The 26,404-nt window shown below is 54.5% G+C and overlaps 1 protein-coding gene across 2 annotated transcripts, besides 7 other annotated features; it reads left to right on the forward strand.

Moving 5' to 3' along the window:
- Window positions 6,110-6,609: an enhancer, noted in NCBI's record as "H3K4me1 hESC enhancer chr9:130900289-130900788 (GRCh37/hg19 assembly coordinates)". NCBI's record gives its function as "activates a minimal SCP1, AML or CMV promoter by ChIP-STARR-seq in naive H9 embryonic stem cells {active_cell/tissue: H9 hESC(naive)}" and the evidence as "EXISTENCE:reporter gene assay evidence [ECO:0000049][PMID:30033119]".
- Window positions 10,226-10,399: a transcriptional cis regulatory region, noted in NCBI's record as "candidate enhancer chr9.2942 targeted for multiplex CRISPR interference". NCBI's record gives its function as "positively regulates PTGES2 gene expression in K562 cells {active_cell/tissue: K562}" and the evidence as "EXISTENCE:mutant phenotype evidence [ECO:0000015][PMID:30612741]".
- Window positions 14,274-14,773: an enhancer, noted in NCBI's record as "H3K4me1 hESC enhancer chr9:130908453-130908952 (GRCh37/hg19 assembly coordinates)". NCBI's record gives its function as "activates a minimal SCP1, AML or CMV promoter by ChIP-STARR-seq in naive H9 embryonic stem cells {active_cell/tissue: H9 hESC(naive)}" and the evidence as "EXISTENCE:reporter gene assay evidence [ECO:0000049][PMID:30033119]".
- Window positions 17,553-21,553, forward strand: LCN2 (lipocalin 2). Of its 2 annotated transcripts, NM_005564.5 has the most exons (7): window positions 17,553-17,763; window positions 18,338-18,474; window positions 19,738-19,817; window positions 20,006-20,125; window positions 20,283-20,384; window positions 21,200-21,226; window positions 21,411-21,553. In NM_005564.5, the coding sequence occupies exons 1-6, from the start codon at window positions 17,626-17,628 to the stop codon at window positions 21,217-21,219; spliced, it is 597 nt and encodes a 198-aa protein (NP_005555.2). In that variant the 5' UTR covers window positions 17,553-17,625; the 3' UTR covers window positions 21,220-21,226; window positions 21,411-21,553. The 2 variants fall into 2 exon arrangements, with proteins under 2 accessions (NP_005555.2, XP_047279332.1); XM_047423376.1 differs by having other exon boundaries at window positions 21,200-21,553.
- Window positions 18,903-18,952: a silencer, noted in NCBI's record as "silent region_20327". NCBI's record gives its function as "represses an Ori minimal core promoter by ATAC-STARR-seq in GM12878 lymphoblastoid cells {active_cell/tissue: GM12878}" and the evidence as "EXISTENCE:reporter gene assay evidence [ECO:0000049][PMID:35858748]".
- Window positions 21,844-22,515: an enhancer, noted in NCBI's record as "H3K4me1 hESC enhancer chr9:130916023-130916694 (GRCh37/hg19 assembly coordinates)". NCBI's record gives its function as "activates a minimal SCP1, AML or CMV promoter by ChIP-STARR-seq in naive H9 embryonic stem cells {active_cell/tissue: H9 hESC(naive)}" and the evidence as "EXISTENCE:reporter gene assay evidence [ECO:0000049][PMID:30033119]".
- Window positions 24,416-24,616: a silencer, noted in NCBI's record as "peak7335 fragment used in MPRA reporter construct". NCBI's record gives its function as "represses an SCP1 promoter by STARR-seq MPRAs in K562 erythroleukemia cells {active_cell/tissue: K562}" and the evidence as "EXISTENCE:reporter gene assay evidence [ECO:0000049][PMID:32103011]".
- Window positions 25,890-26,085: a silencer, noted in NCBI's record as "fragment chr9:130920069-130920264 (GRCh37/hg19 assembly coordinates)". NCBI's record gives its function as "represses an EF-1alpha promoter that drives an FKBP-Casp9 reporter gene in an ReSE screen in K562 erythroleukemia cells {active_cell/tissue: K562}" and the evidence as "EXISTENCE:reporter gene assay evidence [ECO:0000049][PMID:32094911]".

Here is a 26,404-nt window from a genome sequence, read left to right on the forward strand (position 1 = left end):
TTTATCTGCATAAGCTCCCCAGTGGTGAGGGTCCCAGGAAATGAGTGCTACACAGACATTCATAAGGCAAAAAGCCTATCCCCACCCCCACCCCACGTTATAGATGCTCAGAGGAGACTGGTGTGACCAAGTTACCAGGTCCCAGGTGGGGCGGGACTGGCCCTAACAACCCCGGCATTCCAATATCCTGTCCAGTGTGTGCTCTGAGGTTGGAAGACCCCAGAGCACGGTCTGCTATCTTCTCAGCAGCTGCAGAGGTTATTGGAATCGTAACATGTCTCCAGGATGGGAAAGGAGGAAGCAGCAGTCGCCTACATCTCCCGGAAACCCTGCCAGGGACCAGATGTCGCACAGGCTTCCCGGCACGCTTTGTGGAATCATCCAATCTGAAGTCAGGCCTCCCCAGGGTGCAAATCCTGGCTTCTGCCTTGGAGAATTATTAACTCTGGGTTTTTAAAGGCAGCCGCTTACATTCAGCTCTCAAAAGCATCAAAGGCATGAAGCACATAGGGTGCAGACTGCTATCATGCCAGGTCACATGATAGACGAGAAAGCAATCCCTGAGGTCAGAGTTGCTCCCACCAGGCCCACAAAAGAGGTTAATAAAGCATAAGGAAGCCTCTCAGAGAGGCCAGGTGGTGGAAGTTTTGCTGAACCTAGGGTGTCCAGGAAATGGATCATTTGGGGTTGTTTATGGATTGATGTCGCTCTGGTGAGTGGGTAGTAAGTAAATCCACCTCATATGGCTTTTTGTCAACCTTGAAGCTCACTAGTATAAACAGACCAGGCCAGATGTCCAGGTCCCCGGGAATAGTCAGGGGCATGACCCTTCTGCCCCTGGGCTGGCTGCCCTATTCGCTTCCAGCACCTCTTGATAACCCCCCTCCTTTCCCTTGACCAATAGTTCCCAAACTGGGGTGCCTAGACCAGCAGCATCAGCATCGCCTGGGAGCTTGTCAGAATCGTGCATTCCCAGGTCCTCCCTACAACCACTGAATGCAAGTCCCTGGGGCACCTATACCTGCGTCTAACAAGCTCCCCAGCCATCCTGGTGCATCTGAATGTTTGAGAACCACTGACCTCTAGGCTAACTCCTGACTGGGCTCCCTGCTCCCACGGGTTTCTTCCTCCAAGTCATGTTTTCTACACACGCAGAATTGCCATTTCAAATCCCCTACTGCCATGTCACACTCTCCCTTATGTCTGGAGACCCCTCCATTGCCTTTTGAATAAATTCTCACCATTTTCAAGGCTCTTCACTTTTTAAAAATTGTGGTAAAATACACATAACATGAAATTTACCATTTCATTTATTCTCAATATAGAGGTCAGTGGCATAAGCACACTCACATTGTGGTACAACCATAACTCCTTTCCATCTCCAGAACTCTTTTTATCTTGTAAAACTGAAACTCTGTCCCCTTTACACACTAACTCCCCATTTCCCTTTTCCCCAGCCCCTAGCAACCACCATCCTGAGCTCTGTTTCTGTGAATTTGACTACTGAAGAGATCTTATGTAAGTGGAATCACAAAAAGCTATTCGTCCTTTTGTGACTGGCGTATTTCACTTAACAGAATACCTTTAAGGTTCACCTACGTTGTAGCATGTCAGAATTTCCTTCCTTTCTAAACCTGAATAATATTTCGTAAAATGTATATGCCACCTTCTGTTCATTCATTTATCAGTGGGCACTTGGGTAACTTTTTAAAATTGTGGTAAAATATACATAACACTAAATTCATCATCTTACCCATTCTCAATATAGAGTTCATTGGCCTCAGTACATTCACATTGTTGTGCAACCATAACTACCTTCCATCTCCAGAATTCTTTTTATGTTGTAAAACTGAAACTCTGTCCCCATTACACACTAACTCCCCATTTCCACCACCTAACTGGTGGAAATAGCCTTTTGGCTATTTATTGTAAAAAAAAAAAATGCTGCTGTGAACTTAGGTGTACAAATATCTCTTCTCAACGCCCTGCTTTCAATTCTCTCATGGAATTCTCATCCAGGAGTGAAACTGCTGGATCACATGCTAATTTTATTTTTAATTGTTGAGGAACTACCATACCGTTTTCCAAAAGGAGTGCCATAGAAACTATCCTTGCATTCCGGGAACAAATCCTACCTGGTCATGGTCTATGATCATTTTAATGTGCTGTTGAATTGTTTGCTAGTATTTTGTTGAGGATTTTCGCAACAATATTCATTAGGGACATCGGTCTGCAGTTTTCTTTTGTTGTAGTGTCTTTGTCTGGCATGGGTATCAGGGTAATTCTGGCCTCATAGAATGAGTTTTAAAGTGGTCCTTCCTCTTCAGTGTCTTGGAAAAGTTTGAGAAGGATTAGTATTATATTTTCTTTAAATATTTGGTAGAATTCACCAGTAAAACCATTAGGTCCTAGGCTTTTCTTTCTTGGGAGATTTTTGATTGCTACTCCAATCTCCTTTTGATTACTGATTTAATCTTCTTATTGGTCTGTTCAAATTTTGTATTTCTTCATAATTCAGTCTTGGTAGGTTGTATGTTTCTAGAAATTTATCCATTTCTTCTATGTTATTCAATTCATTGGCATATCATTGTTTATAATGTTCACTTATCATACTTTGCATTTATGTGGTATCAGTTGTAATGTCCCCTCTTTCATTTCTGATTTTATTTGAGACTTCTATCATAGTTAGTCTAGCTAAAGGTGTTTCAATTTTGTTTATCTTTTCAAAAACCCAACTCTCAGTTTCTTTAATCTTTTGTATTATTTTCTAGTCTTTATTCCATTTATTTCTGCTCTGATCTTTGTTTTTGTCTTTCTTCCGCTAACCTTGGACCTAGTTTGTTCTTTTTCTAGTTCCTTTGGAGGTAAAGTCAAGTTGTTTATTTCTGACCTTTCTTTATTCTTAATGTAGACATTTATCAATATAAACTTTCCTCTTAGAAATGGTTTCACTGCATCCCATAAACTTTGGTGTGTGATATTTCCATTTTTATTTGTTTCCAGATATTTTTTGAATTCCCTTTTGATTTCTTCTTTGACCCACTGATTATTCAGGAGCTTCTTGCTTCATTTCCACTTTTGTGAATTTTTCAGTTTCCTCCTTTGATTGATTTCTAGTTTCATAACATTGTGGCTGGAAAAGATCCTTGATGTGATATCAATCTTCTTGAATTTGTTAAGACTAGTTTTATGGCCTAACATATGATATGTCCTGGAAAACATTCCCTGTGAGCCCTTGAGAAGAATGCCCCATCTGCTGCTGTTGGATGCTATGTTCTGTATATGACTGTTAGGTCCATTTAGTGGAAAGTATAGTTCAAGCCCAGTGTTTCCTCTTGATTTTCTGTCTGGACGGTCAGTCCATTATTGAGAGTGGGGTACTGAAGTTCCCTACTGCTGTTGTACTCCTGTCAATTTTTCCCTTCAGGGTTGCTAACATTCACTTTATATATTTAGGTGCTCAATGGTGGGCATACATTTTTATATGCTGTATATCTGGGAATGTTTGAATTTCTCCCTCATTTTTGCATCTGTTGAAAGCCTTCGACTTTCTGCTTTATTTCTTCCCCTGATCCTTGTCCTGGTACCCCCTGCAGCTCTGACATATGGCAGCAGTCAGTACTGCCCCCAGGGTCTCCATCCTGATATCCCAAGCAGGCTGCCCTTCGCATCAACACTCCAAGATGCGTGGGACAGAAACCAGTTCCACAGGCAGCCCGCAGACAAGCCAGAACCCTGTAAACATGTTTCGGTCTTTCCCTTGTGTCCCCAGGGAGGTACCAGGAGTAGGGTGGCCTCCTCCTGACCGTGCTGGGAAGGAGGTGGGGCAGAGGTGAGCCAAATGCCACAACATTTCCTGCTGCTTTGAGTGTGGTTTTGTCCTCATTGGGAGTTGGCGTGATTGCTGCAGATCCTTAACCAGTTCCTGGAGTTCCCACTAGGCGACCTGGAGCCATGCATTGCCCCTCGCCTGGTGCTTCCACAGAGGAGCAAGGGTCTACAGCACCCTAGGCCACTGTCCTGCTGACATCACTCCTGCACAGCCTTTCCCTTTCACTAAATCACATCAATACTGCCTTTCCTCTGATGAGGCCTCCCAACCTCCATCTGGCCTCTAGGGCCCTTGTGCACAGGTCTTTTTTATAACATGTGCCCCATTCTGTTCCAGCAGAATTGCTCTCCTTCTCCAAGCATGAGAACCCCTGGGGACTTGCTGGAGCCAGAGTCCCAGGATCATCTCCCTGTGAATCCAGGCAGAACATCTGGGCTAGAACCCAGAAATCCACGTCTCTAGCAAGTGCCGCTGGTGATTCTTAACAAGGAGCCTGTGGAACAATAGAGTCTTACTGAGAAATGTCATCTCCCAAACTCAGCGAAATTCTACGAGATAAAAGGGTGATCGCCAACATCTTTGCCCACTTACTGCATGCAGACACTGCTCTGCACACTAGATGCGTATTAGCTCAGTTAATCTTTCAGTAACCTGTGCAATCAGTCCTATTATCATCCCATTTTACAGATGAGAAAGCTGAGGCATAAAATGCTTAAGCAATTTGCCCAGGTGACCTAGCTGGTAAGTAGAGGATTTCAGCTTGAGCCCAGGCCTTTATCTCCTTGCTCATAGTCTTCATAGCTCTGCTATACGTGTTTAATTATTCAAGGCTGTCCCCTCACAGATGTCATGATATTGTAGCATGCCAACAGGCCGCAGCCACTTGCACACCATAAAGGCCTCATCTCTGGCTATGCCCACAGCAAAAAAAAAAAAAAAGTAAAAAGTAAATAATGACTACTCCCACTAGGATATCCCTTCATGTAGACCAAGGGCCCTTTTTAAGCTCCTCACTCATCCTGCCCAGGCAGCATTTGGTACTGTTGACTACAGGCTTCTGGAAGAGCTCTTTTGCCTGTGTTCTGATGAGGTATTCTCCAGCTCCTCTCACTGAGCTGTTTTTGTGGGTGCTCTCCTCTGCCCTTCCATGAAGTGCTGGTGTGCATGGGGGCTTGTATCTAAACCCTCTTCTCCTGGACAACCTCACCATCCACATACCAGCAACTCCCACCCCTGGGTGTTCTTCCCAGACCTGTCTTCTGCATCCCAGACGCAGACCACTGCTCGCTGCTTCTCTGTGGACAGGACTTTAACCTAACCAGCTCAGCATGTGCGACGCTAAGCCGAGGGCCCACCTCCCAGGTATGCCTTCTTTCCAGCTCCCTGCCCATTACCCAGGCAGCTGTCCAACCAGACATGTTTGGGTTCTTACGGCTCTGAGGTGTGGTCTTGGACACATCGATCCTCATAAATGTTCCGTATGTATTGTAATCCACCAGGCTGAGCTCACTTTTCCACTAAATCATGCCTAACTGACAGTGGCTGACCACAATCAGAGTTCATTTCGTCTTCACACAACATGACGAGGTGGCTGCTTCTCGTGACTGGGCAGTGACTCAACAAAGCACCAGTGGTCCCAGCCCTACCTCTTACAGCCCTTCCCTCTACCGTGCCCTGGATCTTCTGGGTCACTTCTCATCACGCTCCAAAGCTCTGCTCAGACCTTCCCTCATCCAGAGACTGCTGCATGGTCCCTGCATCAAAATGGTGAGCTGTGGGACGGGACCACAGGGCCCCTTATGCAGAGCTGGTAGGAAGTTGAAGGAGCGCCTGGCTACACACCCCTCTCAGGATGCTGGTGTGTGGTAGAGGCTCAGAAATGGGCCTCTCCTGTTTCTCTGCACCACCGGTACCACTGCTCCCCATTCACAGCCCTTTCCACACAGGGACAGCCCATGTGTTCCCTGCTCTCCCAAACACTGTGGGGCTGTGAGGACAGGGACTTTGTCTCCTGCCTCTGTCTCCCTGCGGCCCAGCACAGAGCCGCTCTCATGGTGGACATCAATAAATATGCACCCAAGGATTAACTGTAGAGAAAGGGATGACAATAAGAGAAGCAGTTCTAGGTAAGTGGTTCCCGAGCTTTAGTGTGCATCACAATGCCCTGGGCTGTTGGCTTCAATGCAGATTTCTGACTCTGTAGGTCCAGGTGGGGCCAGAGGCTACCACTGCTGGCCCTGCCACCCTTCCCTGGGAGCCCCTGTGTGATAGATGCTGAAATGGAGAGTATAAGATGTTGAGAAACCTTCCCCAAACCGCTGAGGCTGACCCTTCAGGTGCCAAAAGTCACTTTCTGCCAGTCCACCTCCAACTTCAGCCACAGCTGCTGTGGACTCTCTGGACAGCTCAGAGCCTCCTGGTGCAACATGGCCCCGCCCAAGGTCAGTGCACCTGTCAGCATCCTGTCCCTAGGGAACTCTGATGCCAGGGAAGCCTTCCAGATCTTACAAGCACAGCCCAGAGGGCAGAGGGATAACAGCCAGTGGAGCAGCAGAAAAACCTCCATTCCCACCCCTCAGGAGAGCGAGACCACCAGGCATGGGGCATTGGAAAGAATCTTCCAGGGGCTGCCATGGTCCCTCCTTGATAATATGCCTCCCCCCACTGCGATGGGGGTCCCAAGAGACAGCGGGGGAAGAGGGGCTTGCTCTCAGTCCCCGCCTCTCGGGGGGTGACTCCCCCGCCTGTGATGGGGGTCCCAAGAGCCAGGGGGAGAAGAGGGGCTGGCTCTCAGTCCCCGCCTAGCGGGAGGTGACTGCCCCCCCTGCGATGGGGGTCTTAAGAGCCAGTGGGGGAAGAGGGGCTGGCTCTCAGGCACCGCCTCGCGGGGGTGCCTCCCCCCCTGCGACCGGGGTCCCAAGTGCCAGCGGGGGAAGAGGGGCTGGCTCTCAGTCTCCGCCTCGCGGGGGGTGAATCCCCCCACTGCGATGGGGGTCCTAAGAGCCAGGGGGGGAAGAGGGGCTGGCTGTCAGTCCCCGCCTCGCGGGGGGTGCATCACCCCCTTCGATGGGGGTCTTAAGAGCCAGGAGGGGAAGAGGGGCTGCCTCTCAGTCCCCGCCTCGTGGGGGGTGCCTCCCCCCACTGCGATGGGGGTCCTAAGAGCCAGGGGGGGTAAGAGGGGCTGGCTCTCAGTCCCCGCCTCGCGGGGGGTTCCTCCCCCCCCACGACGGTGGTCCCAAGAGCCAGGAGGGGAAGAGGGGCTTGCTCTCAGTCCCCGCCATGCTGGGGGTGCCTCCCCGCTGCGATGGCGTCCTAAGAGCCAGGAGGGGAAGAGGGGCTGGCTCTCAGTCGCCGACTCCCGGGGAGTGCCTCCCCCGCCCTCCGATGGGGGTCTCAAGAGCCAGGGGGGGAAGAGGGGCAGCCTCTCAGTCCCCGCCTCGCGTGAGGTGCCTCCCCCTACTGCAATGGGGGTCCTAAGAGCCCGGGGGGAAAGAAGGGCTGGCTCTGAGTCCCCGCCTCGCGGGGGGTGCCTCCCCCCACTGCTACGGGGGTCCTAAGAGCTAGAGGGGGAAGAGGGGCTGGCTCACAGTCCCCGCCTCGCCGTGGGTGCCTTCCCCCCTGCGATGGGGGTCCTTAGAGCCAGGGGGGTAAGAGGGGCTGGCTGTCAGTTCCCGCCTAGCGGGGGGTGCCTCCCCACCCTGCGATGGGAGTACTAAGAGCCAGGTGGGGTAGAGGGGCTGGCTCTCAGTCCACGCCTCGCGGCTGGTGCCTCCCCCCACTGCGATGGGGGTGCTAAGAGCCAAGGGGGGAAGAGGGGCTGGCTCTCAGTCCCCGCCTCACGGGGGTTGCCTCCCCACCAACCGCGATGGGGGATCGTAAGAGCCAGGGGGGAAGAGGGGCTGGCTGTCAGTCCCCGCCTCGCGGGGGGTGCCTCACCCCCCGGCTATGGGATTCCATAGAGCCAGCGGGGGAAGAGGGGCTGGCTCCCAGTCCCCAACTCGCGGGGGTTGCCTCCCCCCCCTGCGATGGGAGTCCTAAGAGCCAGGCGGTAAGAGGGGCTGGCTCTCAGTCCCTGCGTCGCGGTGGGTGCCTCCCCACCCTGCGATGGGGGTCCTAAGGGCCAGGGGGGGAAGAGGCGGAGAGGGTGGTAATAATTCCAGCATCGCAGGCTGTTCACCCAGCATGGGAAATTGTCCTTGATATCCTGAAAGGGAGAGGATGCTCTTATTCCCCATAATAGACAGATATGACTCCCCATAATAGAGCACGATGTGTACACCCACCCTGTGATATTCTTCCTAATATTCAGAGGCCGAGAGGTTGGTATTACTCCCAATATCGCAGGAAGTATACACCCCCGTGTGAGATGGTCCTTAATAATATTCCAAGGCGGAGGGGGTGATATGACTACACAGATGGCAGAAAGTGGACACCCCCCAGGGATATTGCTCCCACGATGCTGGAGGGAAGAAGATGATATGACTGTCAATATGACAGAAGGTGGACACGCCCCCACTCATATTGTTTCTAATTGCAACGTGGGAGAGGAGGATATGACACGCGATATCGCAGGGAGTAGAAACACCCCTGTGATACTGTTCTTAATATTCAGGGAGGAAGAGGATGATATTACTCCCAATACAGACGGGTGTACACCCTCTGTACACCGAGGGTGTACACCCGTCTGTGAAACAGTTCATAATCTCCAGAGGGGGAGATGATCTTACTCACAATATGGTAAACAGGCTGTGAGTCCACCGCGGATCCTAAGAGCCAGCGGGGGAAGAGGGGCTGGCTCTCAGTCACCACAGCATGGGGGGCCTTTATGTTCAGGTTTTGCCCAAGAGTCAGCTTATTTACTTCTTGTACTAGCAGGGCAGTTCTGCCAAGGCCCTCAAACAGGGGGGCCATCCTTTAGAAACCCTGTCTAGTTGTTTAGAGACTTAGGCCACCGGCCTCAGCCAGGGCCCCACAGTTTGGGTTAAAAGTCCAGCTGCCATCTTTTCTCTCTCTGACGCATACAATGGAAAAGGCTTTGTCAGATCGGGTAGCCCCAGGGCTGGGGCTGCCAGAAGTCAGATGTTTTTTTTCTTCTTGAATCTCTTTTGTAAGTTATAGTTTTCTGGGAAATTTCCCATTTCCTTATTTATTGCATTCTTTCGTTACCTTTTTAATAGCTCTAGAACTCTATAGTTCTGCTCCCTTTTTATTTCTTTTTTTTTTTTTTTTTTTTTTTTTGAGATGGAGTCTGGCCCTGTCGCCCAGGCTGGAGTGCAGTGTCGCGATCTCAGCTTACTGCAAGTTCCGCCTCCCGGGTTCACGCCATTCTTCTGCCTCAGCCTCCCCAGTAGCTGGGACTACAGGCGCCCGCGACCACGCCCAGCTGATTTTTTGTATTTTTAGTAGAGACGGGGTTTCACCGTGTTAGCCAGGATGGTCTCGATCTCCTGACCCTGTGATCCACCCACCTCGGCCTCCCAAAGTGCTGGGATTACAGGAGTCAGCCATGGCGTCCGGCCTCCTTTTTTATTTCTATGGTTGTTTATTTGTGTCTTATATCTTTTTGTCATGAGAAATTTCTCCAAATTTCTATTCGATTAGTCTTTTCCAAGAGTCAACTTTTGGCTTCGATAGTCCCATAAAATAGGAAGATCTTTCTCTCTTCTTGATTTCTTCTCCTGATTGTTTTCTTTCTTTCCTTCTTTTTAAACATATTTTATTTTATGATTTTTTGAGACAGGGTCTTGCTGTGTCACCCAGGCTGGAGTGCAGTGGCACGATCTTGGCTCACGGCAACCTCCGCCTCCCGAGTTCAAGTGATTCTCTTGCCTCAGCCTCCTGAGTAGCTAGGATTACAGGTGTGCACCATGACACCCAGCCAATTTTTGTATTTTTAGTAGAGATGGGGTTTCACCATGTTGGCCATGCTGGTCTTGGAACTTCTGACCTCAGGTGATCCGCCTGCCTCAGCCTCCCAAAGTGTTGGGATTACAAGCATGAGCCACCATGCCCGGCCTCAGAGTCTGTTTCTTACTGGATCCTGTTGTCTGGTAGAAGGAGGTCTTCAAAGTTTCCAGACTCCTGTTCAGCCAGGATTGCTTTTGAATGGATCTTCCCCAAGGTTCGCTTGGGCCACAGGAAGACCAGACACCCCTGCCTGCCCTTGGGGAGTGGTAGACCTTGGGCAGCCTCCTCTCCACTGACCAGCAAGAGCAGATCCAGCCCATCCCTCACCTTTAGACTTTTCTTGGCAATAGTTGGACCCCAGTCCACAAGCTCCAAGGCTGGCAGTCAGCTCCTCCTCTACTGTGGTTCTCTGAAATGGCCCTCTTTGGGCAGGAGGCAGAGAAGCGGCTCTCTCCTAGTGCCTGCTCCTAGTGAGGATAATTAGTTAGAAGGAGAGAGACTCAGGTCAGGAAGGAAGGACCTTTGAGGCCTTTGCTTAGGAGGCAAGGCCCTCTGGGTGGCTTGTAATGCTCACAGCACATTTAGTAGGCGGGGACACATTGGATGTGCACTTCGGTGCCTGTATGTACCCTGAGCTACACAGGAAGGGGATGAGGCAGGGTGTGGGGAGGCAGGAAGAGGAGGAGACAGGCTGTGCACGGTGGCTCATGCCTATAATCCCAGCACTTTGGGAGGTGGAGGAAGGAGGATCACTTGAGGTCAGGAGTTGGAGACCAGCCTGGCCAACATGGTACAATGCCCAGCTCTTCCAAAAACACAAAAATTAGCCGGGCGTGGTGGAATGCACCTGTAATCCCACCTACTCAGGAAGGCTGAGGCACGAGAATTGCTTGAATCTGGGCGGACGTTGCAGTGAGCTGAGGTCACGCCATTGCACTCCAGCCTGGGCAACACAGCTAGACTCAGTCTCAAAAAAAAAAAAAAAAAAAAAAGAAGAGAAGGAGACAGTGGGAGGGAGAAGGGCCAGGCTCCCACCCCCCAGCCCCAGCACCTGCCTGGGACACAGCTGAGCCCTGAAGCTCTTCAGCCCTGGGCTGGGGGCTCTCTGAGCAGCCCAGCTGCAGCTGTCTACACAGGCGGGGCTGCCCATGACCCGGGTCCCCTCCTGAGAAGAGTCCAAGTCCCTTTGTGAAGAGGTCTGTAGTGCAGGTGGCCCAGGACAAGAGGAATCTGGGGTGTGGGGAGAAGGGGTCTATGGGGTCAAGGAGACTATGCTGGCTGCAAAATGGCCCCCAAAATATATCCATGTAAATGAATAATGTAAATGTAACTTTATGTAGAAAAAGGTTTCAAAGGCTGGGCATGGTGGCTCATACCTGTAATCCCAGCACTTTGTTTGGGAGGCTGAGGTGGGCAGATCACTTGAGGCCAGGAGTTCGAGACCAGCTTGGCCAACATGGTGAAAGTGCATCTCTACTAAAAATACAAAAATTAGCCAAGCATGGTGGCACACACCTGTAGTCCCAGCTACTCGGGAGGCTGAGGTGGGAGAATCGCTTGAACCAGGAAGCGGAGATTGCAGTGAGGCAAGATCGCGCCATTGCAGCCTAGCTAACAGCGAGACTCCGTCTCAAAAAAAAAAAAAAAAAAAAAGTATTTGCAAATGATTAAGGATCTTATTCTTTATTATTTTTTTTAATTTCATAATGGTTAACATCCTAATGCCTGTTCTTTTCTTGGTGCACATTTGTTACAGTACCTAATGCCTGATTTTTAAGGTGAATGAATGACGTATGTATATTACTCAAAGGCAAATGACACATAAGCTATTTTTTGTTGTTGGTGGTGGTGGTGTGGCCCAGATGTTTTTCCTCTCCTGAAGGGCAAGAATTTTCTCATTCCTTTTGGATGTTGTTTGTTTGTTTGTTTGTTTGAGATAGGGTCTCGCTCTGTCACTGAGGCTGGAGTGCAGTGGTGTGATAACAGCTCACTGCAACTTTGTGGTAATTTGCTGTAGTAATTTGATGATTTGGGAAATTCTCAGCTTCTCTAGATTGCAGAAGATGCTAACAATAGGAAATTCACTGTTAAGAAAGTGAACTCTTGAGAGAAAGCCAAGGGTGTGGCCTGCGGATGTGGGGAAGAGGTGGCCAAGCCAGGGGCCCCGGAGGTATGGGAAGGAAGGGACCTGAATCAAGGGAACCCAGCAGTGTGGGAGGAGGTAGTTCAGGACAGGGGACCCAAGAGTGTCAGGAAGAGGTGGGACCCAGTGGTGTGGGGAGGTGGCCCAGGACAGGGGGACCTCGGATTGTAGGCAGAACCTGGAGAACCACGAGACGCTTCAGTTGGGGCAGATCCAGGCTGAGCTCCCAGGGAGGGGCGCTTGGGACTGCAGTGACCTGGGAGAGGCCAGTGCCCACCCAAGGCCTGAGGGAGTCTGGGCCCAGGGAGAGGCACCCAGACCTGTGCCCTGCAGCCTTGGGCCTGCCCATCATGGCAATGCAGAGGGCTCCCCCTCCTGACAGGTGATTCTGAGAGTCACAGGACAGGGCAGGGAGTGGTCCTCCCTCCGGCCCAAGGTCTGGGCCACCAAACTTTGTACCCAGAAACTCACACTTCCCCCTCAGACCTCTGACCTGGGCCCTCTGAGAATCGGGCTGAGAAGGACAGTGGCCAGGTGAAGGCCAAGGTCTCTGGGTGTTCTCGGCATCTCCTGCTGCTCTGCCGCTGGCACTGCCCTCCCTTCCCCTCACCCAACTCTGCACTGGTCCAAGTTGTCCCCTCCTTTTGAAGGTGGACACGCTTTCCCTTTGGAGCGAGATCTGGTCCTCGCTGCCTGTCACAGCCTTGTTCATGTCCCCCTCCCCCAAAGAGGGAGGCTCAGCCATGGAACCCACCCCCTCAGCTGAAATAAACACGTGCTGCCAAGGAGGAGTGGGGGCTGGGTCTGCGATGTCCATCCACCACTGGGATGAAGTGGAGGGCATAGAGGCTGCAGCCTGTTCCATCCTCAGCCCCCGCAGGGCACCAGAGGGGCTCCAGGCAGGAGGCTGTGTGTTGTGGTTCTGAAGCCAGGGATGTCTTCAGGGACATTTGGTCTCATTTGACCCTTCCGGAACCTATTACCCTGCCCCCTGGGCTGGGCACGCTCCTGGACTGTCCTGGGCTCTCGGGAGAACCAGCTTTCAGGAGAGCCAGACCGGTCCTCTCACCCAGCCACCTCTGATGGTGCCAGCGGAGGCCCAGCCAAGGACCTGGAGAGCAGGGAGCACGGGAGCATGTGGGGTAACGCAGGGGTGGCCGCAGTGGAGATGCCCCTTTCCTGGGGTGCTGGGGGCTGCAGTCCGGGCAGGAGGGGTGCAGAGCTGGGAGGAGCATTGGTTTTGAGCAGCACCAGGACCATGTGGGACAGAGGCCTATGACAGAGGGACTGCGGCCCAGCTCCATGGGAGCCTGGCATCCACCACTGCCTGCCGCTGCCTGTGTCCACCCTAGACCCTGCTCAGAGCCTTGACGTCCACTCCGCTGCCACCTATGATCATTGTGGGCCCTCTTGCCCGCATAGGAGTCCAGGCTCTGGAGTAAAAGGCAGAGCACCCATCTAAGCAGCATGCCTGGGCCAGGCACCAAGGGATGGAACCAGCAAGGGCCCTGGGCCTAGACCTCAAGCAGCAGGGCCCGCTTCCCCCTGTCTGGTGGACCCCAGGGGTTCACCAGAGGGAGGAATCCAGTGGGTGTACTTGGGGGAGGGTTGGGAGGGGATTTTCACAGGCGGGCAGGGTCCCTGTCAGGTAGAAGGGGCAGGAGGACCTCAAGGCCCCTTGGCGAGCCTTGGCATGAGAGAGGATGGGGGTTGGAAAACTGTTTCTGGAAACAGGAGACTCAGCCCAAGACCCTGGCAGGGCAAGCTCCTCACACTAAACAGCCCCTCCCGTTCCTGGGTGTTTGAGAGTCGGGTGCCCAGCCCGGACCTGCCGTGACCAAGGAGAGCTGATCTGCAGACACCAAGACTTCCTGCATCTGTGACTGGGCCTCCTGGGGGCATCTTGACTGTAGACTCCTTCCAGGTGTGGTACCTGGCTCCTAGAAGCCTAGCCAGTCACCTCCTGCCCAGCCTTCAAACACGTCAGAGGGTTAACCATTCATGGCCACGCTGAACACTACTCACAAGATCCGGAAACCAGAATGGGGAGTCAGACTGGATTCCTGAGATGTAAGGACCGCCAGGAAGCATCTTGCTGCCTTCATGCATGGATGAGACCTGGGCCTCTCCATGGGAGGACAGGCTGCTGCAGTCTCCAGGGAGCACCCACTCTTGGGCGTGGAGAGTGGGGACAGCTGCCTGCCAGAGACTGCGAGGGGAGGTCGGGAGCAGCCGGAGTACTTCTGGTCTCTGGCCACGGAAAACCCAGGCAGGGACCTGTCTTTAAGCTCCTGCTGTTGCTAAGCCGACCTGCACAGCAGGACTTGGGAGCCCAGCCCAGCTCCTCTCAGGAGGGGCTTGGCCCCATTGCTTCTGTGTGGCTCGTTGAGGGCTCACTAGAGGCACCTGCAGCTCCTTGAGAGAAAGCAGGCCCAGTCCAGGGGCCACGGTGGAAACCATAGGAGGGGCCGAGGGGAGGCAGGTGGGTGCCTGTCATGCCATGCACAGTGCCACACGTGTCGTGGAGATTGTCCCAAGAGCCCCGGGGTCCAGGGACTCCCCCAAGCGCTGAGCAGTGTGAACACTTGTGTACCCTCATTGGCTAGGGCCCAATGAATGGGGCCCAGTGGAAAGGGGGTGGGTGAGGAATGGGGCCCCAGTGTCCTGTTGACCCTGGAGCCCTTGGAGTCGGTCAAGTCTGAATGGGAGGTCTACACCACAGTCCTTACCCAACCTTCCTAGTGCTGAGTCCTGAAGCTTGTGTGGTGGGTCTATGTAGAGCTGACCCCCTCCCTGCAGCCCTGCTAGACTCTGAAGAGAGCCAAGGCCAGTGGGTAGGAGACAGGTCTGGAGCTGGTGCAGAGAGAGGAATGAGCCCTGCATGGGTTTGATCAGAAACTCAGCCTTGTGTAGGGACACCCTGGGGCCCGGTGCTGTCCATGCATGACCTCACAGAAGCGCAGAGCTGCCCTCTCTACAGAGGAGCGCCTGATTTGTGTGGGAGCTAGGCAGAGATCTGCATGCATGCGGAGGAGCCAGGCTTCAAGCCAGCCTGGGGGACCCCCAAGCGGGACTATCTCCCCTTCTGCACCTGGCTCTGGTGTCTTCCCACTGTGGACCCAGTGCCCTGCTCACCCACCACATTCATACCCTGGAGTCCTGGGTCCTCAGAGATCCATGACACTGCCTCACCCCCAACTTCAAATTCTCTGGGGCTCCACCCGCTGGTCTCAGCTACGTGAAGCAGTCACCGTAGACTAGAGGGTACTTTTTAGATTTAGGTCACTCTATCATCCAGGCTGGAGTGCAGTGGCACAATCATAGCTCACTGCAGCCTCGGCTTCCTGGGCCCAAGTGATCCTCCCACCTCAGCCTCCCCGAGGATACGTGGTTTTTTTTTTCTTTTTTCAGACAGGGTCTCACTCTGTCTCCCAGGCTGGAGTGCAGTGGTGCGATCTTGGCTCACTGCAGCCTCCGCCTCCCGGGTTCAAGCCATTCTCCTGCCTCAGCCTCCTGAGTAGTTGGGATCATAGGCATGCATCACCCCACCTGGCTAATTTTTGTATTTTTAGTAGAGACGGGGTTTTGCCATATTGGCCAGGCTAGTCCCTGAGGATACATTTTTTTTTTCCCCGAGATGGAGTCTCCCTCTGTCGCCCAGGCTGGAGTGCAATGGCGCAACCTTGGCTCACTGCAACCTCCGCCTCCCAGGTTCAAGCAATTCTTCTGCCTCAGCTTCCCGAGTAGTTGGGATTACAGGCATGCGCCACCATGCCCAACTAATCTTTGTATTTTTACTAGAGACAGGGTTTCACCATGTTGGTCAGGCTGGTCTTGAACACCTGACCTCAGGTTATCCACCCGCCTCAGTCTCCCAAAGTGCTGGAGTTACAGGCGAGAGCCACTGCGCCCAGCCGAGGATACCTTTTTTTTTTTTTTTTTAAGACAGAATATCGCTCTGTTCCAGGCTAAAGTGCAAAGGCGTGATCTCGGCTCACTGCAACCTCCGCCTCCCAGGTTCAAGCTGTTCTTCTGCCTCAGCCTCCCGAGTAGCTGGGATTACAGGCGCCTGCCACCATGCCCTGCTAATTTTTGTATTTTTAGTAGAGATGGGGTTTCACCGTGTTGGCCAGACTGGTCTCGAACTCCTGACCTCGTGATCCACCCGCCTCAGCCTCCCAAATGCTGGGATTACAGATGTGAGCCACCGCACCCGGCCTGGCAGAGGATACTTTTTAAGGTCAAAGACAGTAGCAGAGGTGGAGTTCCTGGGAACAGGGTCATGAGGGGAAGAGGGGGTTCGGAGGGAGCGAGTAGCCACTGGCTACCTCTAGAAAGGGAAGGCTTTGGTGCAACATCGTTCCCCTGCAGTTTTACTCATCTTTGCTTCCTGCCCTTTCATCATCCAATCGGGCAGGCAGGACAGGGCCTGAGGGGGCAGGGATCCAGTGGGTGCCTCTCTAGACTAACCCCAGCTCAGGACTCCCAGAGCCCCTTCCCTGAGGCCCTGCTGCCCCCAAGCCCAGATTGGGGATCCCAAGCAGCACGTAGGCAGAGCCAGTGAGGTCCCCGTTAGTCCCATTGAAAGCTCTAAAACCAGCGAACCCTCAGTCCAGCCTCAGGTCAGGCATCCAGGACGGCCTCAGCCCTCATGGGTGAGCCATCTCTGCGGACACTGCACAGGGCCTACGATCCATCGCTGCCTCCCGAGGATGCCAGCCAGGCCCCCGTTGAGATAACTGCTTCCCTGCTGGACAAGGCTGGGACCAGCCATCTCGGTGACAGTTCCAGAACCCCTGGCCTGGGCTGCTGGGTTCAATGGAAAAAGGCTGTGACTAGAGTCAGGGGGATGGTCTCAGTGACCTCAAGGATAAGGCCAGATCCTTGCACTGTCAGTGACCCAAAGCAACAGGTGTCCAGAGCAGCAGTGTGGCGCCTTCACGCCCCCACACATCAGCCCAACTCACCCAGGACAGGGACTGTAGCCTCAGCACTCAACCCATGTGCCCTGTGTGGGGTCTCTTCCCACTGCACTCACAGGAGAGGAAGGGTCCCTCAGGGGTCCACTGGGGTCCCCTCCTGCAAATGGGGCAAGGAGAGGGGCAAGGGGCTGTCTCAAGGCCCCTGGAGCACATGCAGGTCCTGGACTGGGGCTCCTGGGAGGGCCATGATTCTGGGCTCCATGAGTTCAGAGCAGACGCCTTGTTTTTCCTTGTCCACTGTCAGCCACCCCACCCTTCCCTGACCCTTAAAAGAACCAGGAAACAGCACATGATCTGTTGGAAGGAGGCATTCATTCTTTCCTTTCTGTGGGTGTGGGGAGGGGACCACAGGGCACATACCCCACCCTGGGATCCAGCTGAGCAGGGGGGTCAGAGATGACAGCTCTTCCGGCTCACAGGCCACCGGCCCACATACAGGGCAATCAGAAGAAAGAAACAGCACAAGGAAGGCACAGAGGGAGTCGTTGTCCCTGCCAGAGGTGCAGCACTCCGGGAATGTCCCTCACTCTCCCCGTCCCTCTGTCTTGCCCAATCCTGACCAGGTGCAGAAATCTTGCCAAGTGTTTCCGCAGGAGTTGCTGGCAATTGCCTCACATTCCTGGCCTTGGCAAAGAATGAATCAACCCACCCTAGATCCCATAAATAGGGCCACCCAGGTGAGCCTCTCACTCGCCACCTCCTCTTCCACCCCTGCCAGGCCCAGCAGCCACCACAGCGCCTGCTTCCTCGGCCCTGAAATCATGCCCCTAGGTCTCCTGTGGCTGGGCCTAGCCCTGTTGGGGGCTCTGCATGCCCAGGCCCAGGACTCCACCTCAGACCTGATCCCAGCCCCACCTCTGAGCAAGGTCCCTCTGCAGCAGAACTTCCAGGACAACCAAGTAAGGGGCCAAGAGGGGCACCTGCAGGCAGGGCCTGGGGAAGAGTGGGAGCAGAGGGGAGGAGAGGTGAAGAGACTCAGGAAGAGCGTTGGGCAGGACTCTAGGAGTCCAGGGTCCAGGTTTCAGCTCACTCTGTGCCACCAGGGTCCCCTGGTGGAAACCATGCCCCTTCCCCCCATCCCCACCCCCTCTCAGCCTGAACAGACTCCCCCAGGTCCACATCCCCTCTCCCATAACCCCCATTGTCCAAAGAAGGTGGGAGCACTTTTAGTCCCCCTGCACAGATGAGGAAACTGAGGCTCAGGAAGGCCCACCAGCCACATGCCTCCTCCAGTGAGGAGGTCACCCTCCTCCCTGCCAGACTCAGAACCGCCTCTTCCCCCAGGACTCCCTTCTGGACTGATGGCCTCCTGCTCCTGCCCCTTCACCAGTGCAGGCCCAGCCTGGGCCCTGCTGCCCAGCTAGAGGGGCTCATGGTTCCAAGCTGGGCGGCCCAGAGGTGCCACAGGGACAGAGCTGGAGGGGTGGCTCCTAGGGCCATTCCTGGGTTGTGCCTCTTATCAGTCCCTTGCAGTTCCAGGGGAAGTGGTATGTGGTAGGCCTGGCAGGGAATGCAATTCTCAGAGAAGACAAAGACCCGCAAAAGATGTATGCCACCATCTATGAGCTGAAAGAAGACAAGAGCTACAATGTCACCTCCGTCCTGTTTAGGTGAGGGCCGACATCTCCTGGGGGTGTGAGAGTCAGACTGACGTCACAGGCAAGGGATGGCCAAAGCTGAGGGATCCTGTCGTTCACCTCGCTGTTCTGCCCGGAATTCATCTGTGTTCATCCTTCCTCTGTTCCTTAGAGCAACGTTTATAGCACATTTCCATGCAGACACACAGACAGTGGTGGGGATGGACATGCACAGTCGTTAGAAAACAAGACGGAGAGAGGAGGGGTGCCTGGGAGCGGGAGGAGGGGACACTGGATCCAGCCTGGAACCCCACCCAGTGCCTTCATGGAAGGCTTCCAGGGAGGTGGCCTTAAAAGAGCCAACCTGCTTCAAAAGGAAATGTGGGGTGTTCCCGGCAGGGGCTGGAGTCAGAGAGAGCCCCCCCTTCAGGAAGGAGCAAGCCATCGCAGGGTCACCCTGAGCAGAGCTGCTGAGCAGCCTGGAGGGGCAGGTGGCCACGCTAGCACCTAGCACGGTCCTCAGGCCCCGCCCCAGCGGATCTGCTGCGGAGTGGCTTAGAGCAGGGCTCTTGGGCCGCAGGGTGGGGAGACTTGGTGGGGTGCAGCCTAGGGGGTCGGGAGACCAGCGAAAGTGAAGCGGGGCCGTCACAGGTGTGAGAGAACAGGCGCAGGGTGAAGAGGCAGGGAGCCAGGGATCAGCCGCCCCCAGTGGGTTTCTGACTCTGGCAGCTGAGTGGATTGGGATTGGGGCATTTGTGGAGCAAGGAGCAGAATACAGACAGGTTGGGGAGCTCAGCCCTGGGGTGCCAGGGGATGGGAAGTGGGAGGACTCAAGGATGGGGTCAGGTTTGACCCGAGAGCTAGGGGAACGGCTGGCATGGAGCAGACTGGAAGTACCGAGGTGGATCCCCGGGAGAGGGTATAGGAAGGGAAGCAGCAAGCTGAGTGCAGGGGAGAAATGCAGGGTTTCTGTGTGTTGGGTGGCGGGGGGGGTGAAAGCCACCCAGGGAGGCAGCCAAAGGAAAGAAGGACATCGGGTGCTGGAGGGTCTGAGTGGGGTCCAGGGGCCCCAGGCAGGCCAGGAGGGACAGCCTGGTGTCAGCTCAGGGAGAAGGCCCAGGCCCATCTCGGCTGGGTGGGGTAGGGCCCCTCCAGGTAGTGGGGGATGAGCTGTCACGGGTTGGGCCGGACTGAGAGCAACAGAACCCTGCTGCTGCCCTGGCCCCACCTTGTCCAGCACAGGAGGCCCAAGCCTGGGTTGTCTCCCCTCTCACCCACCCATCTCTCCCTCCCAAGGAAAAAGAAGTGTGACTACTGGATCAGGACTTTTGTTCCAGGTTGCCAGCCCGGCGAGTTCACGCTGGGCAACATTAAGAGTGAGTCTTGAGTGAGGTGGGGCACTGAGTTGGGGCTCCGGGGAGCTGGGTAGGGGCACAGACCTTCCTGCCCCTCCACACAGATGTGTTGTATGGGGAGAAGCCCACGTTGATGGGCTGGGGAGGGAGGGGACAGCTCCCTCCTCCCATCCAGGGCAGGGCTGACCCCTCACCGTCCACGCCTGCAGGTTACCCTGGATTAACGAGTTACCTCGTCCGAGTGGTGAGCACCAACTACAACCAGCATGCTATGGTGTTCTTCAAGAAAGTTTCTCAAAACAGGGAGTACTTCAAGATCACCCTCTACGGTGGGTCCTCTCCCATCCCCTCGGGGACTGGCTCCTGATCACACTTAGTGGGAGGGGAGGCCGGTCCCCCATGAGGAAGGGATCTGAGGCCTCATCTACTCATTCAACGATATTTATGTGGTGTCTGCCAGCCACTCACTGGCCATCTTGGTCACAGGGAGAACCAAGGAGCTGACTTCGGAACTAAAGGAGAACTTCATCCGCTTCTCCAAATCTCTGGGCCTCCCTGAAAACCACATCGTCTTCCCTGTCCCAATCGGTAATGGCCAGTCTGGATGAGGGGACGGGGACATGGGGACTGTTCAGGCAGGATGCTTCCCTACCAGGGATCAGGGAGAGGAGGGACTCCGTCCTCAGCTTCAGTCACTGGAGCAGTGGATGGTCCAGGAGCTCCTTGGAAGCCACTCTGGGCCCAGGAAGACTGTGCCCCACCCCAGGGTCTATGGGACTCCCAGGGACCCAGGCCGCAAGTGCTCTTTCCTGGCAGTTTAGCCCGGGTCTGCCCAGACAAGGATTTCAGGCCCAGGCCTGAGTATCCATTTCTCAGTCTCACTGGCCTGACACCTCTGGCCACCCTCCCAGGCCCCCTTGTTCTGGGCCATCTCCCCCGACCCTCCCAGGCCTCGTCACCCTGGGTTTTGCTGTCCTGGCTGTCCTCTCTCCCCTGGGGACTTGCTCACCACTGACTTGGGAGCTGTCCTTGACTCCAGGGAGCCTGGCTTGGGCAGGAGGCTCCAGCCAGGCCATTCAGAGAGCCACTGGCCTCCCCCAGGCTGAGAGACTGCCTGGACTGGTAAACAGGCAGGAGACCTGGGTGCCCGAGGAGCCTGGGAGCTGGGCCTCACTCAGGGCAGCCCCTCCCCAGGCCTTTCTCCCACATCCCCTGCCCTGCCATCCACCCCTCTGTTGCCCCATCTCTGAAAGGAACCCCCATATCTTCTGCAGCTGGGCCAGGTGGGGCAGGGGCTGCCCAGGGGCAGTGCAGAGGACCTGGCAGTCAGGGATCACACACACACACTCATACACGCACACACACACACAGCTGCCTGTTCTGACGGACTTTCTCCCTAACAGACCAGTGTATCGACGGCTGAGTGCACAGTGAGTGTGGCTGGGCGGCTGCGAGGGGGCTTGTGGGAGGCCAGGGTGCAGTGGGCTGGGGGTCTTGGGCCTGCCTTTGCTCATCCCCCTGCCCCCCAGCACTGCTGCTGTCTTTATTCTGCTGTCCCCATCTCGGGTGCCTCCCATTTCCCCACCCATCACCCTCATATCCACCTCTGTCCAGGGTGCCGCCAGCTGCCGCACCAGCCCGAACACCATTGAGGGAGCTGGGAGACCCTCCCCACAGTGCCACCCATGCAGCTGCTCCCCAGGCCACCCCGCTGATGGAGCCCCACCTTGTCTGCTAAATAAACATGTGCCCTCAGGCCTCTGAGTCTACACTGTTTGACCCCTGGGCCTTCGAGGAAGGGGAGGGGCGGGAGGCTCCCACTGGCATCACTCTCAGGGTCTGCACCCCCAGGATGGAGCCTAGCGAACCCAGCCTGGGTGTTAGGGCTGCAGAGTGAAGACACAAGCCCCTGGTCATCACCAGCAGCTTTGTGGCTGACCACCCTGAGTCCTTCCCACGTGGTGTAACACCGTCCTCCCTCCTGCTGTGACATGGCGCCCAGCCCCAGAGCAGCGGCAGTTCTCACATTCCCCTGCCTAGGAGGGTGCCCAGTCCATCGCAGACACGGTGGGCCACACCCCATCAGAGTGCGACAGGGGCATGCACAGCTGGAGGCTGTTCCAGGCAGAGGGTCGGCTCGGCGGGGATGGTCCCCTGCCCCTCTGCCAGCCCACTGTGGGCCCCGTGGGTGAGGGGCCATGTCCATGCTAACCCCGTTTCAGAGCGTGCTGCCCCTTACCCCACACCTCCCCGCCTGATGACATCCAGGCCACCTTGGGGGTGCATTCTGAAGCCAGGGGCAGGGCCAGGGGGAAGTGAGGAGGGGCTGTGCCGCCAAGAATCCAATTCCCCAGGACTCAGAGGGCTCCAGGCCTGCACTTATCACTTGGCTGCCTGTGTCAGGCCTGACAAGCCCCTGGTCCCCCACTGGCCGCAGAGGCAACCTCTCCAGGTCCGCATCATGCACAGGCACTCCCTCCCCAGCCCCTTCTCCCCGTGCAAGTTCAGAGGCCAGAGTGGGTGGGGTTCTGAGGAAACCCCATGGACAGACACACCACCCCGTTCACCCTCGGCTAGGGTTAGGGTTAGGGTTAGGGTTAGGGTTAGGGTTAACCCTAACCCTAACCCTCGTTCACCCTCGGCTGGGCTAAGGAGAGATGCTGGCACTGTGAACCAGCCCCAGCCTCGGACCCCAAGGAGCAGGACAGGCCTGAGACCCAGGCCCACCAAATGCTGCCAAAGCCTCGGAAGTCTGGTCCAGACTCCCGGAAGAGGCCAGCTTGGTGCAGCCCCAGCTTTGAGAGAGGGATGGGACTGTTCCCAAGCCCAGAGAGGCTCAGGCTGAGAAAGTCACCCAGGGACTGCTAGCTGGCCAAGGGGGTGGAAAGTGCACCCAGCACGCCTGGCCCTTGGGCTCCAAGTGGGGCAGCAGATCTAGTTTCCTAGCTTGGCCCAAGCAAGGCAGCTTCCTGTCACCCCCTGGGCCTGCTGAGCCTTTGAGGATCAAACCCTTAGGGCCTAGAAGGGCTTTGTGTTTCCTTCCAGGTCGCCATAGGTTTGAGTTTCCTATTGCCACTATTGAAAGAGGCAGGATGGCCAGCCGCAGTGGTTCACACCTGTAATCCCAGCACTTTGGGAAGCCGAGGCGGGCGGATCACCAGGTCAGGATATCGAGACCAGCCTGGCCAACATGGTGAAACCCTGTCTCTACTAAAAATACAAAAAAAATTGCTGAGCGTCGCAGCGTGCGCCTGTAGTCCCAGCTGCTCAGGAGGCTGAGGCAGGAGAATCACTTGAACCCTGGAGGCAGAGGTTGCAGTGAGCTGAGACTGCGCCACTGCACTCCAGCCTGGGCAACAGAGCGAGCGAGACTCCGTCTCAAAAAAAAAAAAAAAAAAAAAAAATAAGTGGCAGGAGGAGACAGACAAATATCTTGGCAGATAGGGGCAAGTCCCCAGTGAAACCCCACCTCCAAGCCAAAGACAGTTTAAAGCCTGAAAGCAACGCTACAACTCAAATCCATGGACCAGATTAAGACCCTGTCATCCATTTGGCACGCTTTCCTCTGATTGATCCCCACCCTTCTCCTATTTTACATATACCTCCCCATCCCTAATTGTGTTTTTTTTTGTTTGTTTGTTTTATTTTGACATGGAGTCTTGCACTGTCACCCGGGCTGGAGTGAAGTAGCATGATCTTGGCTCATTGCAACCTCCACTTCCCAGGTTCAAGAGATTCTCCTGCCTCAGCCTCCCAAGTAGCTGTAATTACAGGTGCCCATCACCATGCCTAGCTAATTTTTTTTTTGTATTTTTAGTAGAGACGGGGTTTCACCATGTTGGCCAGGCTGGTCTCGAACTCCTGACCTTGTGATCTGCCCCCCCCTTGGCCTCCCAAAGTGCCTAATTGGTTTTTTACACTGTCATGCCCACCTTTGAGTGGTGCCTTTGTTTTAGCCTTCGTTTTGCATACTCACAAGCCAATCAGCATGCACTCCCCATTCTGAGTCCAGAAAAGCCCTAGACCCAGCCACACTGAGGGAGAGACTGCCCAACTTGGGGTGCGGGACCACTCTCACATCCCCTCTTTGCTGAGAGTTGTTCCATCACTCAACAAAATTATTCTCTGTCCTCCTCACCCTTTGATTGTCAGCGTATCCTCATTCTTCTTGGACTCCGGACAAGAGCTTGAGACCCACCAAGTGAGGGTACAAAGAAAGCTGTAACAGTGCTAGGGTTGAGCCAGCTCTGGAGCCACAGGCCAGAGCAGGTAACAGGGCTGACATCTTCCTGGACAGGGGTGTCACTGGCTGGGGGTCTCCGGCCGGCAGAATGACCAAGAAAAATCCTGTGTCACTATCATAAATCACCACAAACTGTGGGTTTAAAACAACACCTATATATTCTGGAGGTCAGAAGTTTGAAATCAGTTTGACTGGGCAGAAATGAGGGTCCACAGAGCTGTGCTTCCTCCAGAGGCTCTCAGGGAAGCTGCTCCCTGCCCTTCCCAGCTTCTCATGCTATCTTCCTTGCACCCCTTAGCCTGTGGCTCCTTCCTCCTTCAAAGGCAGTGGAGCATCAGCAAATCTCTTTCTCTGCTGAGGGCCTCACTCTCAGCCAAGGAGGGCAGGCTAGGCTGGGCACCATGGCTCACATCTGTAATCTGAGCACGTGGGGAGGCTGAGGTGGGAAGATCACTTGAGTCCAGGAGTTTGAGACCAGCCTGGGCAAGATGGTGAAACTCTGTCTCTACAAAATTGAAAATATTAGCCAGGCGTGGTGGTGGTATGCCTGTAATCTCAGCTAATCTGGAGGCTGAGGTGGGAGGATCACTTGAGCCCAGGAGTTTGAGACCAGCCTGGGCAAGATGGTGAAACCCTCTCTCTACAAAAATAAAAATATTAGCTGGGTGTGGTGGTGGTGCACCTGTAGTCTCAGCTAATCCAGAGGCTGAGGTGGGGAGTTTGAGGCTGCAGTGAACTATGATTGTGCCACTGCACTACAGCCTGGGCCACACAGTAAGACTCTGTCTCTAAAAAAAAATTAATTAATTAATTAATTAAATTTTAAAAAGGAGGTGAGCCTGACCTGGATGAGAGGCCGTTCCCCAAAATTCTTTGGGTGCTGGTTCAATGTCCTTCTTGCTCTCGCTCAATCTAGTTCAGGGAGGAGAAGGCAGGGCTGACCATGTGCAAGTCGCTGGAGACCCTCACAGCAGGCTTCAGATTCCACCATGCCCCTGCCTTCCTCAGGTAGAACAGTGAGGGTGGCTTCTGGGACAAGAGAGGATTCCACCCCATTGTCATTGTCTGGGATACATGCTTGGGCCTGACCTGGCATTGAGGATGGCCTGCCCACAGGGACAGCCAGTGTGAGACCAGGTCCAGGCTGCTGCAGCCATGATGCCTCCATGCACTACAGCTACTGGAGTCCCAGTAGGTGAGCCCCTCTGCCTAGAACGTGGGCCTGATTCTCAGCTGGACCCCTGGGCAGGATCATAGCTCTGGGTCCAACCCAGGGGTGACACTTGCCGGCTGGGTGACTGTGGGCAAGCCGCCTTCTCCTAGCTGGAAGTAGAATGTGGGATGACAGCAGCTGGGCCGATTGTCATGAAGCCTTTCTTGATGAGCAGTCCATGAAGCACTCTGCCCACGGCCCTCTACCCTCCACTGCAGCACTCACAGGCGGGGGCAGCAAACCTTTCCTTTATTGGAGAATGTGACACACAGTCCTGGGTGGGTTTGAGGTGAGCTTGAACTAAGGGAAGCCTCACCCCTGTCCTGCCCCTGTCCCAGTTAAGGGGCTCTCCCTAAAATGAACTATTCCTACTTCTCTTTATTTTTTAAAAAATTAAATCTAGCCAGGAATGGTGGTTTACACTTGTAATCCCAGCACTCTGGGGGGCCAAGGCGGGTGGATCACCTGAGGTCAGGAGTTCGAGACGAGCCTGGCCAATATGGTGAAACTAAAAATACAAAAATTAGCCGGGCATGGTGGCATACACCTGTAATCCCAGCTACTCGGGAGGCTGAGGCAGGAGAATTGCTTGAACCCGGGAGGCAGAGGTTGCAGTGGGCCAAGGTCGCACCACTGCACTCCAGCCTGGGTGACAGAGTGAGACTCTGTCTCAAAAAAAAAAAAAAATTAAATTTTTATTTAATCTTTTTTTCTCTTTGGCTTCTCAAAGTTCAACTTAAAAAGGTAGCTCCAGGGACCAGGCGCGGTGGCTTATGCCTATAATCCCAGCACTTTGGGAGGCCGAGGTGGGCTGATCACGAGGTCAAGAGATCGAGACCATTCTGACAAACATTGTGAAACCCCGTCTCTACTAAAAATACAAAAATTAGCTGGGCGTGGTGGCGTGTGCCTGTAGTCCCAGCTACTCAGGAGGCTGAGGCAGGAGAATCACTTGAACCCAGGATGTGGAGGTTGCAGTGAGCCAAGATTGCGCCATTGCACTCCAGCCTGGCGACAGGGCAAGACTCCGTCTCAAAAAAAAAAAAAAAAAGAGGTAGGTCCAGGCCGGGCATGGTGGCTCACACCTGTAATCCCAGCATTTTGGGAAGCCAAGGCAGGTGGATCACCTGAAGTCAGGAGTTTGAGACCAGC

Source organism: Homo sapiens, chromosome 9, assembly GCF_000001405.40.
Source record: "Homo sapiens chromosome 9, GRCh38.p14 Primary Assembly".
NCBI lineage: Eukaryota > Metazoa > Chordata > Mammalia > Primates > Hominidae > Homo > Homo sapiens.